Source organism: Homo sapiens, chromosome 9 (assembly GCF_000001405.40).
Source record: "Homo sapiens chromosome 9, GRCh38.p14 Primary Assembly".
Taxonomy (NCBI): Eukaryota; Metazoa; Chordata; class Mammalia; order Primates; family Hominidae; genus Homo; species Homo sapiens.
In genome coordinates, this window is record NC_000009.12 from 110,895,676 (window position 1) to 110,915,746 (window position 20,071).

The 20,071-nt window shown below is 37.9% G+C and overlaps 1 protein-coding gene and 1 pseudogene across 74 annotated transcripts in view, besides 3 other annotated features; one reads left to right on the forward strand and one right to left on the reverse strand.

The window, feature by feature from the left end:
* The window catches only part of LPAR1 (lysophosphatidic acid receptor 1), a 165,736-nt gene that overhangs the window by 22,413 nt on the left and 123,252 nt on the right, over positions 1-20,071 (reverse strand). The window lies entirely within an intron of this gene.
* Positions 6,950-7,119: an enhancer, noted in NCBI's record as "experimental_105418 CRE fragment used in MPRA reporter constructs". NCBI's record gives its function as "activates a minimal promoter by MPRAs in K562 erythroleukemia cells, with activity observed for both the introgressed and non-introgressed 9:113664990 variant alleles {active_cell/tissue: K562}" and the evidence as "EXISTENCE:reporter gene assay evidence [ECO:0000049][PMID:34662402]".
* RNU6-432P (RNA, U6 small nuclear 432, pseudogene) lies at positions 7,662-7,770 on the forward strand (annotated as a pseudogene).
* Positions 19,368-19,537: an enhancer, noted in NCBI's record as "experimental_105435 CRE fragment used in MPRA reporter constructs". NCBI's record gives its function as "activates a minimal promoter by MPRAs in K562 erythroleukemia cells, with activity observed for both the introgressed and non-introgressed 9:113677408 variant alleles {active_cell/tissue: K562}" and the evidence as "EXISTENCE:reporter gene assay evidence [ECO:0000049][PMID:34662402]".
* Positions 19,715-19,884: an enhancer, noted in NCBI's record as "experimental_105449 CRE fragment used in MPRA reporter constructs". NCBI's record gives its function as "activates a minimal promoter by MPRAs in K562 erythroleukemia cells, with activity observed for both the introgressed and non-introgressed 9:113677755 variant alleles {active_cell/tissue: K562}" and the evidence as "EXISTENCE:reporter gene assay evidence [ECO:0000049][PMID:34662402]".

Below are 20,071 nucleotides of genomic sequence, written 5' to 3' on the forward strand. Positions count from 1 at the left end.
GTGTTCGGAGCTGGATGCACTCTGGCCACCTCGGTAAGATTGGACCCCACCCTCCAGAAACAGCTGGGCAGCTGGGCAAAGGCCAGCGCTGAGAGAATTTCATTGCAGAACAGTTCTGGCTAAAAAACAATAAAAATAATTTTCCTAAGAAATAAAGTAGCAACAAAAGAGAACCAGATGCAGCCCAGAGGAGCTTCATGTTGGCCCCACGTGAAGAATGGAAAGACAGCCTTTGGGACACCTGGGCATTTCTCTTGCTTCTCATGCCATTTACCCATCCATTTCGTATTCATTTCTTAGTCAAAAATCTTAATCAGATCAGGCTTACAGAGTGAAAAACTTAGTTAGGGAAGATGTAAGCTGGGTCAATTCCTTTGTCTTCCTTTAGCTGTAAACCAGTAAAGTGCTCGCTTCCAGTTTAGATCAGAGGGAGAAATGTACTTGCTCCATTTAATCCAGGTATATGATGCTAATGAAGAACCTCAAGTCCTGCTCATAATTATTCTTGTTACCACGACAGATTTTTGACTATGCTGCGTACTTTCTAGGGCCCTCATTATATTTTCAAAAACATTGCTGACAATTTTCTTTTTGACAGTTATTTTTCAGACTCCTGCTATTTATTCAGGTCATTTGTGGCCTTTTGATTTTTAACTATGTAAAGTTTTGAGGTGCAATTACATCTTTTAAATGCATTTATATGTTATCTCTTTATGATGCCTAATTAAATTTATCAGGGGCAACCCACACTTGAAACATTTAAAAGGCAACTCAGAATGTTTTTTATTTGCTTAGTCTGATTGTTACTGAATTACACCTTATTTTGTGTTTTGCACTTAAGTATTTGATTTTTAAGACATTCCCCATTGTACTACTCCATGGTATGATCTAGAAAGTAACCCTACACTTAAGTAGGCAAGAAAAACAAAGGAAAGGATCCACAAGAATAGTACACTAAGGATTACCCATAGTGAGGTTACTAGATTGAAGACTAGGATTTAAGCACCGTATGAACTTGTAATAAACACATAATACACTGAAGCATGACTTAAAATTTGGGAGGGGGTGAGTTAAGTGACTTGTATTTGAATATGCAACTATTTAGTGAAATCTTTTTTTTTTTTTTTTTTGAGATGGAGTCTTGCTCTGTTGCCCAGGCTGGAGTGCAGTGGCGTGATCTCAGCTCACTGCAAGCTCCGCCTCCCAGGTTCATGCCATTCTCCTGCCTCAGCCTCCCGAGTAGCTGGGACTACAGGCGCCTGCCACCACGCCTGGCTAATTTTTTGTATTTTTAGTAGAGATGGGGTTTCACCGTGTTAGCCAGGATGGTCTCGATCTCCTGACCTCATGATCTGCCCACCTCGGCCTCCCAAAGTGCTGAGATTACAGGCGTGATTTAGTGAACTCTTTAATCAGACAGAGAATTTTATTTTCCTGAATCCTGCCTTCCTACCTGACATAGTTTGGCTCTATGTTCCCATCTAAATCTCATCTTGCAGCTCCCATAATTCCCATGTGTTGCGGAAGGGACCCCATGGGAGATGACTGAATCATGGGGGAGGGTCTTGCCCGTGCTGTTCTCATGATAGCAAATGGGTCTCATGAGATCTGATTTAAAAACAGGAGTTTCTCTGCACAAGCTCTCTCTTTGCCTGCCGCCATCCATGTAAGATGTGACTTGCTCCTCCTTGCCTTCCTCCACGATTGTGTGGCCTCCCAGCCATGTTGAACCATAAGTCCAATAAACCTCTTTCTTTTGTAAATTGCTCAGTCTCGGGTATGTCTTTATCAGCAGTGTGAAAACAAACTAATACAGTACCTTTCAACCCCCTTAGCATGCTGGAAAAGTTCTTATGCATCAGAACTACAAACACATCTTATAGGGAGAAACTTTTGCATCCATTCATCTGTTTATCTGAATGTGGAACAGCATTTGGCTTCCTCTTCCATAAGTTAGAGGCATCTGTGTTCTTCAAATCATAGCATCCTTACTAAGCTCCATCACTCTGTCTTTGAAGATAAAACAACATAAGGTAAAAGGAAAAAGACAACTGGAGAACTAATTCTAGAAAGATAGGGAGAAACATTGAAAAGTAGAAAAAAATAACTAGATATAGACTAAAATAAGGCCTTTGATTTTTTTTTTTAATGAGCAGATATCTATACTACTGTTGTCAAGGATCATTGTCTCTGCATCACTTTGTATTGTTGAATTTTCATTATCTGGGGATTATTTCACAAGGGATACATAAAATCCTCAAACACAGAATTTCTGGAGGAAGGAAGAAAATATTTAATAGCAAAAACAGTGAGCTCAAGAAACCCTAGTAATTAGAATCATAGTCTTGACAAGTCAGATTTTCACTGGTCTTCAGATACGTATTTCAAGAGCTGAGAAAACTAGTGACTCATTTCTGTGACATTGGTGCCTCTGGGAATCCAGTGAAAGCCATGGCTCTATCCTGAAGGGTAAAAAGGACCTTAAAACAACACAATGCTTACAATTCCAAGCAATACAAACCAATATTTCTGGACCAAGTTATTTTTTCCAGTGCTAGTTTTGCTTTTAGAAATTTAAAAAATATGTGTCTGTTGGACTTTTCCCAGTAGCTTTGGAATTACAAAACTATTTTATCAGAGAATTAATATAACTTGGCACTTTTATTCATCTACATATGAAGTAAAAACTTTTTTATGTAGATTACCGTGTGCAAAGAAACATGAATTTAAATCTAACTTTTGTACTAGTATTGTAGTGACAGCTTCCATCCACCTACCCATCCTTTTCTCCAGACAGAAATAGTCTACAGAGAGTCAGTATGAAACTATAAGAACGCTATATTTAGAGTGGGAGAACCGGATTTAAAATGTTTCAAAAGTTGCAAGGCCCTCAAGGGTCATCGGGTTTACAGCACACGTTCACGAGATGAAGACAGCTATGTTTAAAAGCAAGCCTCCAATATTGTCCTTTCCACAAAACATGCAACGGTTTGATCTTTTGACTAGCACCAACTTCTCTAGGCCTCAAATTCCTCATCTACAAAATGAAGGAGATCACTTACAGCCTGAGAAATCTCTGGCTAACTAAACTAGAATTTTTAATTTGCTCCTTTTCTGTAGCAGTGAATTCTTATTTTTGCTGTAAGATGCAGTATTCATAAAATCAGGCCTTTCACGTAATGTGTGTCACCTTAACTCCAAAACATCCTATGAGTGTTTTCACTGCATTCGTGCAAAGAAAAAAAATGAGATAATTCCTTGTAGTTGTAACCATCATATAAAGTAACAGATTTTGATAAATACCAAAAACCTGATAATCCCCTTAGGTTCCTTGGACAAACATCGGCTAATTCTTTTTTAAAAATACAACACAAATTATTCCATTACACAAATGATTGCTCTGGAGAATTAATGTTAAGAATGGAATGTTAAGAATGGAAATACTGGCTACATTTTGTTACACATCAAGAATCAGAATATAGGATATTTAGGATGAGTTCTCTTCTTCACACTGTGAAATCATTAGGAAGCTTCAATTTACTATGAAATTTCTAGGTATTTGAAATGGCTATCTTTTTTCATAGTTGACACTCTAGGAAATGTTTGAATTCAATTACAAAGTAAAAATGATGGCAGCCATCCATTCAGTTAAAATGAAAATTATCTACATCAAGAATTTTCAGAAGTTCATTCGATCCATAAATAATATCAAGCAGCTATTTTGTGCAATGCAATGTAGTCAGTGTCTTTGGGAGAATATAGAGATGAAATAATACACAGACCTGGCTTGAGGAGACTAGAAACTGAAGCTGGGAAGAAAGGCATTTACGTAGCTAAATGGGAACCGTAAGTGCAGGGAGTAGCAAGGGAGGAGAAAGGAAATGATAGGGAGAGGAAGAAAGCAAGAGAAAGTCACCTAGACCAGTGCTTTATCAACTTCAATGTGTACACGAATCACCCAGAGATCTATTAAAATACAGATTCTGATTCAGTAGGTCTGGAGTGGGACCTGAGAATCAGCATTTCTAACAGCTGTCAGGTAATGCTAATGTTACTCATCCATGTACAGCACTTTGGGTAGCAAGAGTATGCTTTGAGTACATAAATTAACCTAGCTCAGAATTTCTCTATTTTGGCTAGATGATTCTTTCTTGTGGGACTGGTCATTCCATTGTAAGATATTTAGCAGCACCCCTGGCTTTTGCCCACTCAGTGCCAGTAATACACCACCCCCATGCCCCCATGGTGAAAATCAAAAATGTCTCCAAACATTGCCAAATGTTTTCCTAGGGGCAAAGTCAGTGGTGTAGATAATGCTTTTACATAAAAAGTTATATGAGACAAATAGCAACCCTCTTAAAAATAACTCACTTATTTGTATTCGTTTTCTATTTCTGCTGTAACAAATTATCACAAAACTTTGTGACTCAGAATAATCCAAATTTATTATCTTATAATTCTAGAGGTCAGAAATCTGATGTGAGTCCTTGCTAGGCAAAAATCAAAGTGTTAGCAGGGCTGTAATTCTTTCTTCAGGATCCAGGGAAGAATCAGTTTCCTTGACTTTTCCAGCTTCCAGAAGCTTCCACTGCTCATGGACCCTTCCTCTTTCTTCAAAGCCAATGATCCAGCATAAAACCTCCCTATCTCAAGGCCTTTAACTTAGTCACATCTGAAAAGTATCTTTTTGTTCCAGGGATAAGGATGTGAGCATCTTTAGTGGTCCGTATTTCTCACTCCCACCATGTTAAAATAAAAATTACATTTGTAAATGATTTCATACCTAGAATAATTTAAGATAAAGTTTCTCCCCCAAAATCCTAGAGAACAGGGATTTTCTTCTGTGCCGCAAGTACTTTCCTACCTGAGAACATTTCATAGCATTTCTAGTCACACATAAATTCATCTAAGGAAGAACCAAGTTTTTCTACTTTTAATGTTACAGTTTCTGGCACCATTCCCAAGCTTTCTTGACCCTGTTGCTATCACTAGTATAAAATTACATTTTAAATGCCCAACAAATGAGGAAATATGATTCATTTCTGAATCTTTGGGTGTTTCCTGAAATTTAAGAATTCTATTTGTATTTTACAGAGTTATATTTACTACCTTAAAAATTTTCTTTTAGATTTATCTCAAAAGTGAAGGTAGTATTTGGCTACTTGAACCCTCATCCAAAACCTTCATCAGCACCTTCCCTGTGTTTTTTAGATTTTTGCTCATATGTGCCAAGGGCTAGGGCATCTTAAGTTACAGAATACTTAGTGACAAATTTAATTGAATCTAATTATCGTGCTGAAATGTTTAAAACAAATCTTTTCTTCAATCTGTTCCTATAAACTGCTCTTCAGAGTGAAAGCATGCATCTGCTCAAAGTGATTCTGAGATGGGGGCGGATGAGTAAATAAAGCCAGATGGCATTTACACTTACAGTTTCTTTCCCTTTTTGAGTTTGACATATAAGATTTGACTAACTGTCTTTAAAAGCTCATTTTTCCCAGCCTGTGAAGTTAAGCTTGGTGAAGTTGACAAGAGGCGATTAGGAAGAAGGCAGAAGGAGAAGTCGTGGCCTAAAGATAGAGTATTTGTTGACTCACGTTCCCACTACGACAAGAGTAGCAAAACTGAAGGTGAGGCTTTAACTCTTCCTCCACGTTCCTAAAGATGTAAGAACTTCAGCTCATTGAAGCCCATAGAGGCAGCATGTATTAGTCTGTTCTCATGCTGCTAATAAAGACATACCTGAGACTGGGTAATTTATAAAGGAAACAGGTTTAATGGACTCACAGTTCCATATAGTTAGGGAGGCCTCACAACCATGGTGGAAGAGCAAGGTATGTCTTACATGCAGCAGGCAAGAGAGAGTGTGTGCAGGGGAATTGCCCTTTATAAAACCAACAGATCTCGTGAGACTTATTCACTATCATGAGAACAGCATGGGAAAGACCCACCTCCATGATTCAATTACCTCCCACCAGGTACCTCTCATGACATGTGGGAATTGTGGCAGCTACAATTCAAGATGAGATTTGGGTGGGGACACAGCCAAACCATATCACAGCATGATTACGAAGTAGGGGGAAGAGAGAGGGCAGGTAGACTGCATTTCAGTTTTGTTTACAGGGAACTATGAAAGGTAGAAAAATAGAGAACTTTCTACTGAAACAAAGCCACTAACTAAATTCATTTTTTCTATAATGAGTAGTCTTAAGGGTCTTCTCCGACCCCAACTCTACCCAAAAATAGTCCCTGCACAAGAATTCTGGACTGGACAAGATGGTACAGATACTTTTTCCCTGTTTCTCCCAGCTAAGTATAAATATAAACCCTAGAAAAAAAACACAAAAGGAAGCCAGAGAACTCCAAAAGGTGAAATGGTTAGAGACCCTACAACCAGAGGAATGTCACAGTGACAGTGTCTTACAACCCACAACCTCACAGAAGGTCACCCAAGCCCAGTGTTTCTAGAGCCTCAATCTCGTAGCCAGCCCAAATAGGCTCATTCCCACTCAGACCAAAGGGGAGTCCCAATGATACTACCAGGCTGGCCAGCGGTACTAGCCAGGGAAAATGGAGCAGGAGCCATGCTGATATTGTTTGGCTGTGTCCCCACCCAAATCTCATCTTGAATTGTAGTTCCCATAATCCCGCGTTGTGAGGGACCTGGTGGGAGGTTATTGAATCATGGGGGTGGATACCCTCATGCTGTTCTTGTGATAGTAAGTTATCACGACATCTGATGGGTTTATAAGGGGCTTTTCCCACTTTGCTCAGCACTTCTCTCTCCTGCTGCCTTGTGAAGAAGGACGTGTTTGCTTCCCCTTCCACTATGATTGTTAAGTTTCCTGAGGCCTTCCAAGCCATGTGGAACTGGGAGTCAATTAAACCTCTTTCCTTTATAAATTACCCAGTCTCAGGTATGTCTTTATTAGCAGCATGAGACTAATACACCTGCTGACCATAAGAAGACAGGAAAGCACTCTCCTTACTCACCAAGCCTAAGACTCCCTTCCTCCAATGAGAAACAGCAGGTGGCTTGCAGCACTAGCAAAGGGGATCCTGCCACAAAAAAAGGCTCCACCTGGGAAGTGTTTTCCTTGGAGAGAGGGGCAGTCCTCAGCACTAGTGCCTGTCTCCAGGATATCTGTTTGTATTCCCTCTACCTCCATCAGAGGCATCATGAGGCTCTACTGAAGAGCTCCACCCCTTCAGGTAGCACCAGCAGACGCCAGGAGGAACCCTAGCAGCCCCAGATAAACCAAGAAGACCAAAATAGCACCACAAAGTCTCTGAAAATGCAATTGTCATTGGATGCACGGCCCACAAAATTAGGCCAGGATTTTCTTGCTAAACCTAAATGGGATGACTGCCTACTAAAACAAAAGATTTAAATCAGACTCTGAGTCTCCTAACAGCATAGCCAAATTCCAGGATAGAATGAAAAATTACCCAACAAACCAAAAGTCAGGAAAATCACAACTTGACTGTGAAATGACAACTGACACTAACCCAGAGATGAAACAGAAGAAGAACTTATTGACAAAGATTTTAAAGCAGCCATCCTCAAAATGGTGTAATGAGTAACTGTAAATTATTTAGAAACAAATGAAAAAATAGAAAATCTCAGCCAAGAACTAGAAGTTATTAAAAAAAGAACCACGGTGCTCACAGTTCAGCAGCAAATACACTAACATTGGAACAGCATAGATAAGATTAGCATGGCCCCTGCACAAGGGTGACATGCAAAGTCGTGACGCATTCCGTATTTTTTGAGAAATTAAAAAAAGAACCAAATGGAAATTATAAAACTAAAAAGTACAACAAATATAAACTTAGTGGGTTCAATAGTAAAATGAAGGTGACAAAGGACAGAATCAGTGAACCTGAGAACAGATCAACAGAATTACCAAATTTACTCACTATGAACAAGAAGAAAATAGACTAAAAACCGACAAAAAACAGACCCTCAAGGACTTGTAGCACAATAACAAAATGTTCAAGATTCACATCATCAAAGGTCCAGAATAGAGGGAGAAAAAGAGAGTGGGCTTGAAAAATTGTTTTTAAAATAATGGCTTAAAATTTTCTAAATTTGGCAAAAAAATATAAATCTACAGATTCATAAGCTGTATAAATCTCAAACAGGATAAACCCAAAGAAATCCATACCAGGACATTTCATAATTAAAATTTTGATAAGTGAATTGCAAAAAAAAAAAAAAAAAAAAAAGTCTTGAAAGCACTGAGAGAGCAACAACACATTACCTATTAGGGAACATCAACTCCAATAACAGCAAATTTCTTACCTGAAACCATATAGGCCAGAAGGAAAAGGTGCATTTTCCAAGTGCTGAAAACAAAGAATTGTCATCTTCAAATTCTATATCCAGGAAAACTATACTTCAAGAATGAAGGGAATATAGAAACAGATGAAAGAAACAAAAGGACTGTGTTGCTGGCAGACCTTTTAAAAATGGCTAAAATAAGTTTTTTGAACAGAAAGAAAATGATGGAAGATGGAATCATGGAGCATTAGGAAATAAAACAACAAAACAAGCTGAAATATGGCTACATACGATAGATGATCCTCCTCATGAGTTTCATAAGATATATTAGATGACTTAAACATTATAACACCATCTGATACTCAAGACAATAATATTTAAAAGTGGGAAAGGTAAAAGCATTTAAATGGAAATAAGGCCCCCATGTGTCACTCAAAGTGGTAAAATGTTGATATCAGTAGACTGTGATAAGTCACATGTGTATTGTAATGAGATAGCAACCAAAAGGAAAACTATTCAAAGAGGTATACTCAAAGACATAGTAAATAAATAGAGGTATAATCCCAAAAGTCCTCAATATCTATTTGGGATTCTGCATATCAAATGACTCAATATAAATAAAAGTATTAAGTTGTTCATGGCAAAGTCCTAGACTAGGAGCTACCTCATTCTGAGACAGAACTAGACTGGAGCATGTTTCTGACTCTTAACTAGGAATCAGGATCACCAGAAATTCCTGGACCTTAACTGCCACATCTTTGAAATAGGAGTGGCTGGAGAAGTAGGTCTGGCAGACAACCTGGACCACACCCAGTGATAATTCTATACATTATTACAGGTTTTAATTCTTCTCATCCATCCCGTGTTATCCCTTATGATTCAGATGTCTTTCAAAGTGCTCTGAAAACTGTAAGAAAGTTCACAATCCAAAGAGGATATTGTATGACACACTCCAAGCTCTCACAAACCCCAGAGTAGAGAGGAGAGGAAGTGACAGAAGGAAGACACTTCAAATGTAGCATAAACCTACTGGAGCATGGACCATTTCCACTTAGAGGAATTATTCATTTCTTTCCCACCTCTGGTAGGGAACACCAATAAGCAAAGCAGGGTCACCTATTTACTGCTGTTCATTCGGCATCCTTTTAGATCAACTATAACAAATCCTTGGAACTAAAGGAACTATATGAAAATTGGCTGATGCCAATCATGGTCCACCAACTTAACATGCTCTCACTTCTTCCTCAGTTTACCATGCTATCCTATTCCAAGTCTGCATAGGTGGCAAGATAATTTGTCCTTGAGAAGTGCTAGGTCATATATGGATGGTTGGGTACACTGGACAATGAAATGCATTTAAAACAAAATATGCCTTTGCTTTTTTTTATTATTTTTTTTTTTTTGCAGAAGGGGTCTCGCTCTATTACGCAGGCTGGAGTGCAGTGGCATGATCTTGGCTCACTGCAACCTCCGTCACCCAGGTTGAAGCGATTCTCCTGTTTCACCTTCCCCCAGCAGCTGGGATTACAGGCGTGTGCCACCACACTCAGCTAATTTTTTATTATTATTATTTTTAGTAGAGATGGGGTTTCACCATGTTGGCCAGGCTGGTCTCGAACTCCAGACCTCATGATCCGCCCACCTCGGCCTCCCAAAGTGCTGGGATTACAGGTGTGAGCCACGGCACCCAGCCTGCTATGTTTTATAAATAAGTATAAACACCTTAATTGCACCATTTACCACAAAAGTTAAAGGGCTTGCATTTTCTTATCAGTAATATGTAAGGATTTAAAAGGCTCTATACATTTCCTCAGTCTCTTATGTTCTATGGAATTATTTTCCCTAGACAGATAGTGGTGAACATACCTGGGCTAGAACATGCCAGTGTGTGCACTTGCTGGCTGCGTGTCCTGGCTCAATACCCTGAGGTTCAGTTTCTTCATTTGTGAAAAGGATATGGTAATACCTAATTTACAGCAGTGCTATAAGAACCACATGAATTTCTGTATTTCAAACACGTGACATGTAATAAGCTTTCTACAGTAGCTATTATAATCCAGGAGCATGCTCTTTGTCAGAAACTTTACCATAGGTAGCAATGGATTTGGAAACAAAGTAAAACATTTCAAGAAATCAGATTAGTAAAGGTTATGGCACAAAAATACGTCAAGTTCTATGGACAAGATAGATGTTACCTCTAAAGCCAAAATTCTCCCTGCTTATGTTTGGGACTTCTAAGATCCCTGGAACTCTAGAATCAACCTTCTGACTACATTGCTGGTCCATTCTCTGTCTTCTATTATATGTAGGACAATGTTAACCCTTCCCAACTTGGTGTAATGTGTTTCATTAAAAAAAGGAAAAAATCCTACTTCTTAATTTGTATAATATAATGTTGACACTGGTGATGTTTTTAAAAAACTTATTTCAAGCCATGTGTTCTTTGGGTGAAAACTTCTGATTAAAGACATATAATCATTAAGAGTATCATCTCCATAATTTTAGCCTATGCTAGAAATGCAAGCTCATCTTTTCATTTTTTAGTACCAACCCAACACATGCCAAAATGGTCACCTCAAAATATTATCTAATAAAAGTACATATTCTGATCATTGTGTGGTAGAATATTTTTTCATATTAAAATATTTTTCTTGGGTTTGACTCTTACACTTAGGGAAACAAAATGCTTCACAACAATAATACTATTATGGCTCATAACCAGTTATCAAAATACTTTTAAAACAGCTGATTTTCTTCTAGAATGAAACTTTTTAAATTAAAATGCTTTTCCACATAAAATGCATATAGTCAGCAAATACAAAACATAACAAATATATCACATAAAGTAAATGAACTATATATTTACTTGTAAAACCAAAGTTTCTATGGAGTGACATTGGATATATATGCTTTGAAGGCCAACTTAAGGATGAAGGAAGTTTCTAAAAATTATGATATAAAAATCCTTTATTGATGCAAAAGGGATTCAGATTAACATTTTAATTCTGTAACTTAAAAAATCTAGAATTAAGAACAAAACAAATTCTATGAATGTACATTTTCTGGTATTACTACATGCAGCTAATTTCAAAAGTTGATATATATTTGAAAAATGTTAAAAATTACATTGATCGTATTATCACTTTAACAAAAGGGAGAAAAGGATAATACTACCTCTGAGAAAGGACTAAGTCTTATTTAAGAATTTGATGGCCCTAATGTCACAAACAATAAATATTCCTTATAATATTCTGTCCGGCAAAAAATCAAGAGAGGAACAGAGAGAAACTAAGATGAACAGAAATGTATGGCGAACAACCTAGAATGACTCACTGGAGACTTGACAGACCCTGAGCCACTGATGGTTCTAATATTCTTAGCTCTGTAAAAAGGCAAGGGGTAATCGTTCTTGGTCTTTAATGGAACAGACTCTGGTGAAAGAAAGAGAACAGAGAATAAACTATAAGAATAAAGACACACAATCACCTCAGCCAAAATAAACAGGTTACCTGTAAAGGGAGCATAATCAGACTGACCCCCGACTTTTCTGTAACAATGTTAAACATCAGGGTCCAGTAAAGCAACATCTATATGAGTTCACAGGAACTGTTTTGATTCATTAATTCTATATTCTCTCTTGACATTCACATGTCTGGACAACAGGAAAATCTCAGATAAAGGATATGTGTTGTCTTTGCATGGGAGACTACAGGTTACTATTTTCTTTCTTTGATTCTTAATATTTCCCAATATATCTGTACTAATCATATGTTATCTTTATAGAAGAAAATGATTTTTATTAATAATAATGCACAGATTAAAACAGAAAAAGCAGGAACTACAGAGAGCATAAGGATGGTAAGGATGGCTTACTATTCAAAGAACAGTAATTTGATTTACATCGGTTTAATTGTTCTAACTTTCACATCAAAAAAGAAAGACTTAACCTTTGACAAAACACACACACACACACACACACACACACACACACACACACAGCTTTTCTGATTTCAGGGAAAAGCTAAAACAGATTCATAAGAAAATTACACTACAGAAGATGGAGGCTAAGGCTCATATCCATCCCAAATAATTCTGCTTCTCATCAGTTGCTTCTTGTTTAATTGTTCTTTGGAAATAAATAATCAGTGTGTTTTTCTTTTCTTTTTTTTCCCTTATGCATATTTTAGGAACATTTTTCTATTTAAACTAGGAACTAAAGTATTATTAATTTTAAATATCTAAATGTTTATAAATAGTAAGCAATTTTAAAATATTTTACTTAAATTATTTTAAAATATTAAGACATTTGTTTAAATGCTTTTATAATTCATTAATGCTTAATAAACTATTAACAAATTAATATTAATTAATATATTATAATTAACTATATATTAAATTGATACTAAGTTATTGTCTAGATGTTATTTTATTAAAATTTAAATGTACTGAATTATAATTATTTTCATCATAAAGTATTAAAACAGAAAATTAATACTGAAATTAGTCTCTTATCACATCTTATGTTCAAGAGAAATCAAAAGGGAAATATAAAGCAGAATAATCTTAAAGGAAAAATACATTTTAGTAACTGCATTGAATGGAACATTCTGGTCTTTCAGAGAGATTCATTAGTTAGTGAAGTTACCTAAGCACTGTGAGGAAGTACCTTTTCTTCTGTGGACCAGAAATTCCCTGAAATGAATACGACTTCCTAGGAGGCCTTGAAAATGCAAAGGGCCAGCTCTTGGAGTTGCCCTTGCTGGAAAGAACTATATTGAAGGGAAAGGGCAGGTGTGACCAGCATCCTTTCAGAAGAACTGGTCTGGTCACATAGAGAAAAATGTTCAAGGAGTCTTATAGTTTCCATTTCAGAAGGGACACGAGAACTACCAATCAGATGCCAGGGAAGTATTGAAACCAACCCCATCGTTCCATAGACTGTTCTTTTGGATAAACATAGAAATTGACCTTTTTTGTCTTAAAGCTTGAAACTTATATTTATTTTATCTGAGTTCCTTTCTTGGGAAAGGACCTTCAGGCCTCTCAAAAAAGTATCAAAGAAGTGAAACTCACCAGATCACTGTACCAAATGCCATATCCCTCACTCATCATGACTGCTTCGTTGCCCCTCCCTAGTTCCTATTTCTTACACATTGTGACTATTTTTTTCCCTTCTATATAAACCCGTGGTTTTAGTCAGTCAGGGAGATGGATTTGAGTCTGAGCTCCCATCTCCTCAGCTGCAGCACCCAAGAAAAGCCTTCTTCCTTGGCAATGCTTGGCATCTCAGTGATTGACTTTCTGTGCAGTGGGCAGCAGGACCTAGACCAAACCCCGGGTGTTTCAGTAACAGTATAAGTTACATGATCCTAGCACCTTCTTGTACAGGAGCAGCTCATTTCACTGTGCTCACATTTCATTGATTGACATCACATTGGCATCTCAGTGATTGACTTTCAGTGCAGTGGGCAGCAGGACCTAGACCAAACCCCTGGTGTTTCAGTAACAGTATAAGTTACGTGATCCTAGCACCTTCCTGTACAGGCACAGCTCATTTCACTGGCTCATTACATTTTTTAGAAATTGAAGGTTTGTGGCAGCCCTGTATCACACAAGGATAGTGGCACCTCTTCTCCAGCAGCATGTGCTCACTTGGTGTCTGTGTCACATCTTGGTAATCCTCACAATATTTCAAACTTTTCATTATTATATCTGTTATGGTGATCTGTGATCAGTGTTCTTTTTGTTTTGCTTCATTTATTAAATAAAGTATTTATTTATTTATTTATTTATTTATTTATTTAGAGAGAGGGTCTGGCTCTGTTGCCCTGACTAGAGTGCAGTGGTGTGATCTCGGCTCACTATGACCTCTGTTTCCTGGGCTCAAAAGTGATCCTCCCACCTCAGCCTCCCGAGTAGCTGGGACTACAGGTGCCTGCCACCATGCTCGGCTAATTTTTTGCATTTTTTGGAGAGACAGGGTTTCATCATATTGCCCAGGCTGGTCTCAAACTCCTAAGCTCAAGCTATCCACCTGCCTCGGCTTCCCAAAGTGCTAGGATTATAGGCATGAGCCACCACATCTGGCCCAAATGTTATTTTTAGAGCAGGTTAGTTTCACAACATAACTGACCAATAAGTGCAGAGAGAAAATTCCACCTAAGACTTTCATAGCTGGAGAGGAAAAGTGAATGCCTGGCTTCTAAGCTTCAAAGGGTAGGCTGACTCTCTTGTTAGGGGATAAAGCGGCTGGTGTGTCTTTAAGCAGAAGCCAGTGCTCATTTACCATTCCAAAAATCCTACAGCCCTTAAGAATTATACTAGATCTACTCTGCCTGTAGTCTATAAATGGAACAACAAAGCTTGGATAACACATCTGTTTATATCATGGCTTACTGAATATTTTAAGCCCATTGTTGAGACCTGCTAAGAAACAAAGATTCCTTTCAAAATATTACTGCTCATTGACAATGTACCTAGTCGCCTAAGAGCTCTGATGGACATGTACAGGGATATTAATGTTGTGTTCATGACTGCTAACCCAATATCCATTCTGCAGCCCATGGATCAAGGAGTAATTTTGACTTTCAAGTCTTATTTAATAAGTATATTTTGTAAAGCTAGAGCTGCCATAGATAGTGATTTCTCTGATGGATCTTGGCAAAGTTAGTTGAAAACTTTCTGGAAAGAATTCACCATTCTAGATGCCATTAAGAACATCCATGATTCATAGTAGGAGGCCAAAATATCAACATTAATAGGAGTTTATAAGAAGTTCATTCCAACCCTCATGGATGACTTTGAAGGGTTCAAGACTTCAGTGGAGGAAGTTGCTGCAGATTTGGGAGAAAGAGCAAGAGAAAGAGTCAGAAGTGGCACCTGAAGATGTAGCTAAATTGCTACAATCTCATGATAAAACTTTAATGGATGAAGAGTTGCTTCTTATGGAGGAGCAAAGAAAGTGGTCTCTGGAGATAGAATATATTCTGGTTGTCAGTGTTGAAATGACAACAAAGGATTGAAAATATTCCATCAACTTAGTTGATAAAGCAGCATTAGGGTTTGAGAGGATTGACTCAGATTTTGAAAGAAGTTTTACTGTAGGTAAAATGCTATCAAACAGTATCACATGCTACTGAAAAATCTTTTGTGAAAGGAAGAATCGATCAACGTGGCAAACTTCATTACTGTCTCATTTTAAGAAATTGCCACAGCCACCCCAATCTTCAGCAACCACCACTGTCATCAGCCAGCAACCATCAACATCAAGGCCAGACCTTCCACCAGCAAAAAGATCATGACCTGTGCAGGGCATGGTGGTGCACGCCTATAATCCCAGCACTTTGAGAGACCAAGGCAGGTGGATTGCTTGAGCCCAGGAGTTTGAGACAAGCCTGGGCAACATAGCGAGATGTCATTTCTACCCAAAATACAAAAGCCAGGCATGGTGGTTCACACCTGTGGCCCAGCTACTTGGGAGGCTGAGGTGGGAGGATTGCTTCAGCCTGGGAAGTAGAGGCTACAATGCACCAAGACTGTGCCACTGCACTCCAGCCTGGGTGACAGAGGAAGATCCTATCTAAAAAAATAGTGGAGGATTTGAAAAAAAAATTAAGAAGCAGACTTAAGATACTTTAATTTTTTTAATTTAAGAAAAAATATTTTCAAAAGATTATGACTTAAGGCTCAGATGACTGTTAGCATTTTTAAAGAAATAAGCTGTTTTTAAATTAAGGTATGCACATACTTTTTTAAGACATACTACTATTGCACATTTAATAGACTATATTACAAACATAACTATCATATGAACCAGGAAACCAAAAAATTTGTGTGACTCACTTTATTGCAATATTTGCTCTATTGCAGTGGTCTGGAACCAAATCTGCAATATCTCCAAGGTATGCCTGTATCTTTCCCATATGCCTATTTCCCAACTGAGATCAGAATTAACACTTATAATACAGAAAAGGGCTGGGTGATTGTTTTAACGGCCAGCCGGAAAGCAGAAAGGCTAGGGAGACAGTATCTCAGTCTAAAGAAAACCTAAAAGGCAGAAACCCTTGGGTGATAGGAAGTGAAGGTAGGTAGATAGAAGAATAAACGTCTGGGTTACTGAGGGCTGTGGGAGGGAGAAAGGAAAGCACAGTATCAATGCAGAAACAGTGTGACTACATCACAGTTTTTAAATACTTAATAATAGAAAATGGAAAGAAAAACAACTTCTTTCTAAGCACATCCTACTTTTGACCACCCATGTGGCCAGATCTCTTTGCTGTGACCCTCTCCATCATCGAGGTGACTAGAAGTACTTCACATTACAGAATTGTGCAACTTGTGAGCTTGAACATTGCCAGGAATCTCCACCTCTCAAAGACAATTCTGATTTCTTTACAAATGCAAATATTTGATCCCTGACCCAGAGATAGAATACAAAACTTTAAAACTCTTATCTTCTCATGACAGTTTTAAAAAAAGAATTAGTAGGGGGCAAAGACCTTTTGGCTGACTACAGAGTTTTCTCATTTTTTTCTTCTAAAAGCAAAGAGAGAAGAGGAAACACCAAATGAGCTTCTCCTTTCACAATAAAACCCGTTTTCAGACATTCGTCATTCTGGGAACATTGAGATTTTATTAATGGAGATAGTGTTTGGATATTCAGGCTTTCATCAACTATAGAAGCTGGCATGGTCTAAATTTGAACAAACTATTGAAATATAGCCATAAATTTCTTGCTGGAGACAGCGTCTCCATATTACAGTTTTTTTCATGACGCAAACAGTGTCCAAGGAGAAGGGCTAGAGATTCCATTCTAAATGCCACCAGGACATTCTGTTCTTCCTTCTTCACCCTCCAGATGAGAAGGGTTCCTTTCAGTTCAAAGGATGCTAATCTTGCCTCTCTTGGGACTGTCCCAAATAATAAACAGGCTGACCTTAGCTAAACAGAGCAACTGGTCAAACCTGGGAAGATCAGATTTTCAGCCTCAGAAAGCACTGTCATACGAACAAGGTTGGGAGGTTAACAGCATTAAGCCAGTTACTCTTTAGCACATCCTATGAAGTGGTGTCATGTGTGCTATTTGTGCTATTTCCCAGAGGAGGAACTTAAACTTGAAAGTAATTGACTTGTCAAGCTCCATTCAAACTGAAGTCTGTATTCAAATCCAGATCTTCCAGTATATTCCCTGACCTAGAAAACCATCTGGGATATAATAGATACCATCTATCTAGGAATCTAGCTATGTATCTACGTAGATACCTCTTGTTTACATAACTGAGGCGTTGAGCTGTCTGACTCCAAAAGTGTTTTTCTGCCAGACCATGCTGCATAGAAAGTACAGACTTTTAGAGCATCTGTTAGATTAAATACAGGTTTCCAACAGGTAGTATTTACCACTACTACAAGTCAGCCAAATCAGAAAGGTTCATTATCCTAAAAGAAATTAAAATCAGTGCCAACCTGTCATAATATACATACACACAATTTGTTTCTAAAAGTCTCTAAATGAAAGTTTTGCAAAAGTATTGATGAAAGGTATTTATATATATATGTATATGTACACACACATGTGTATCAAGTTCATTTTAATAAGTATATATATATATATCCATTTTTAGCTTTAGATATTACAAAACTATGTAATAATCAGAGTAGACCAGCAGATAAGCCTAATTAAGTATGCCCACAAACAAAAAGCACATTCTGAATGGAACAAACCAAGTGAAGTGGAGTTATGGAAAATAAGACTAAAGGACAGGCTGCAATGTGATTTTGGAAGGACGAGAACATTAGGGTAAGAGATTTCTGCTTTCCTTCTTAGGCAGTGGGGATCCATTTAAATTGTTGAGTAGGAAGATCAAAGTGGCTATTTTGTAGAATGTAGATGAAAGGTTACATGCTCAAAGAGGAGAGAACATCTAAGAAGTTCAATGGGTGCCTGCTATATTTTTCCACAAGAAAGCTGGCTATTACCAGACTGTATGAACAAGACACGTCCAAGCTTGACAAGCATCACTGACTTATTTTTGGCAGGCGATTTGGGACAAAAAGAAGTTCCCTCATTGCTTTTTTCCTTTGGTTCCTGTCCTCAAAGGATGACAGCATCTCAAAAGGCAACTCTTCCCAGGAGAAAGCAAGCTCCACACCCAAGAACTTACAAACTCCTTTGCCTGATTCTAATCCTGTTTCCCTTTGTCTTATGTAGCTGTCTCCCTAACTTTTAAACCATTTTATCACTGTGTACACAAATGTCTTTGTGTTAATCTGTTTTCATACTGCTAATAAAGACATACCTGAGACTGGATAATTTATAAAGAAAAAGAGGTTTAATGAACTCACAGTTCCACATGGCTGGGGAGGCCTCACAATCATGGTGGAAGGCAAAAGGTACATCTTACATGGCGGCAAGCAAGAGGGAGAATGAGAGCCAAGTGAAAGGGGTTTCCCCCTGTAAAACCATCAGGTCTCATGAGACTTATTCACTACCACCAGAACAGCACGGGAAAGACCCACCCCCATGATTCAATTAACTCCCACCAGGTCCCTCCCACAACACATGGGAATTATAGGAGCTACAATTCAAGAAGAGATTTGGGTGGGGACCCAGCCAAACTATATCAGTCTTTAATAAATGTGTTTCCACAAAATCTCTAGAACAATTCTGGTTGTGAGGATAATTCTTGGTTTCCTTCTTTCCCAGGCTGAGAGTCTTATCGAGGAAGGCAGAATGCTGATACTGACATGGAAGATGCCTAGTACAGTATGCAGAGACAGGCCTCTTTTTATCTCTTTTCACTTCCTTTCTTCATTAAAGACTCAAGGGGGGAAAAAAAGCTTATTTTGCTTGCTGAGATGATACTTCTGTGTTTTACCTTTCCTGCTTCAAAATTAATGTTTTAGCTCTCGAGCTAAGACAACTGCTAATCTCATACTCAAAAATGAAACCTAACCTTAGTTCTAGCCACTTGGCTTGAAAGAAACTTGAATAAAACAGATTTCGCAAGTTAAAAAAAAAAAGAATTTAATGATCAGAATGATAGTGAGGGCCCCTTTGTGCAAGCTGCATGCACTTGCAGTCTAGGAGGTCTCTCATTTAAGATGCAGACATTGTCCTTAAGGATAATTTTGATGGTTTTTAAACTCCCTGTATAATTGTACTCTCTAAAGTGTGCTTATGATTCATAGTTTTTCTTTATCTTCTTTCATTTTAAAAACAGTAATATTTATTGCTATTTTATGATGATGAGAATAAGAAGTACATATTGTAGAATATTTGAAAATGAATATACAACAGGTCGGGCATGGTGGCTCATGCCTGTAATCCCAGCACTTTGGGAAGCTGAGGCAGGCAGATCACTGGAGGTAAAGAGTTGGAGACCAGCCTGACCAACATAGTGAAACCCCATCTCTACTAAAAATACAAAACTTAGCCAGGGGTGGTGGCATGTGCCTGTAATCCCAGCTACTTGGAAGGCTGATGCAGAAGCAGAAGAAGAATCACTTGAACCTGGGAGGTGGAGGTTGTAGTGAGCAGAGATCACGCCATTGCACTCCAGCCTGGGAGACAGAGTGAGACTCTGTCTCTCAAAAAAGAGAATATACAACAAAAAAGTATCTGTAATTCCATCTCTAGAATTTAATCTGTGAACATATTATTCAAAATGTGTACATGTATATATACACACATACATATGTCCACATGTGTATGTACACATATAACCACAATCATATATTTGTACATACTCATTTTTCTTAGAATAAATTTCTGGAATTATGAAGATGTAA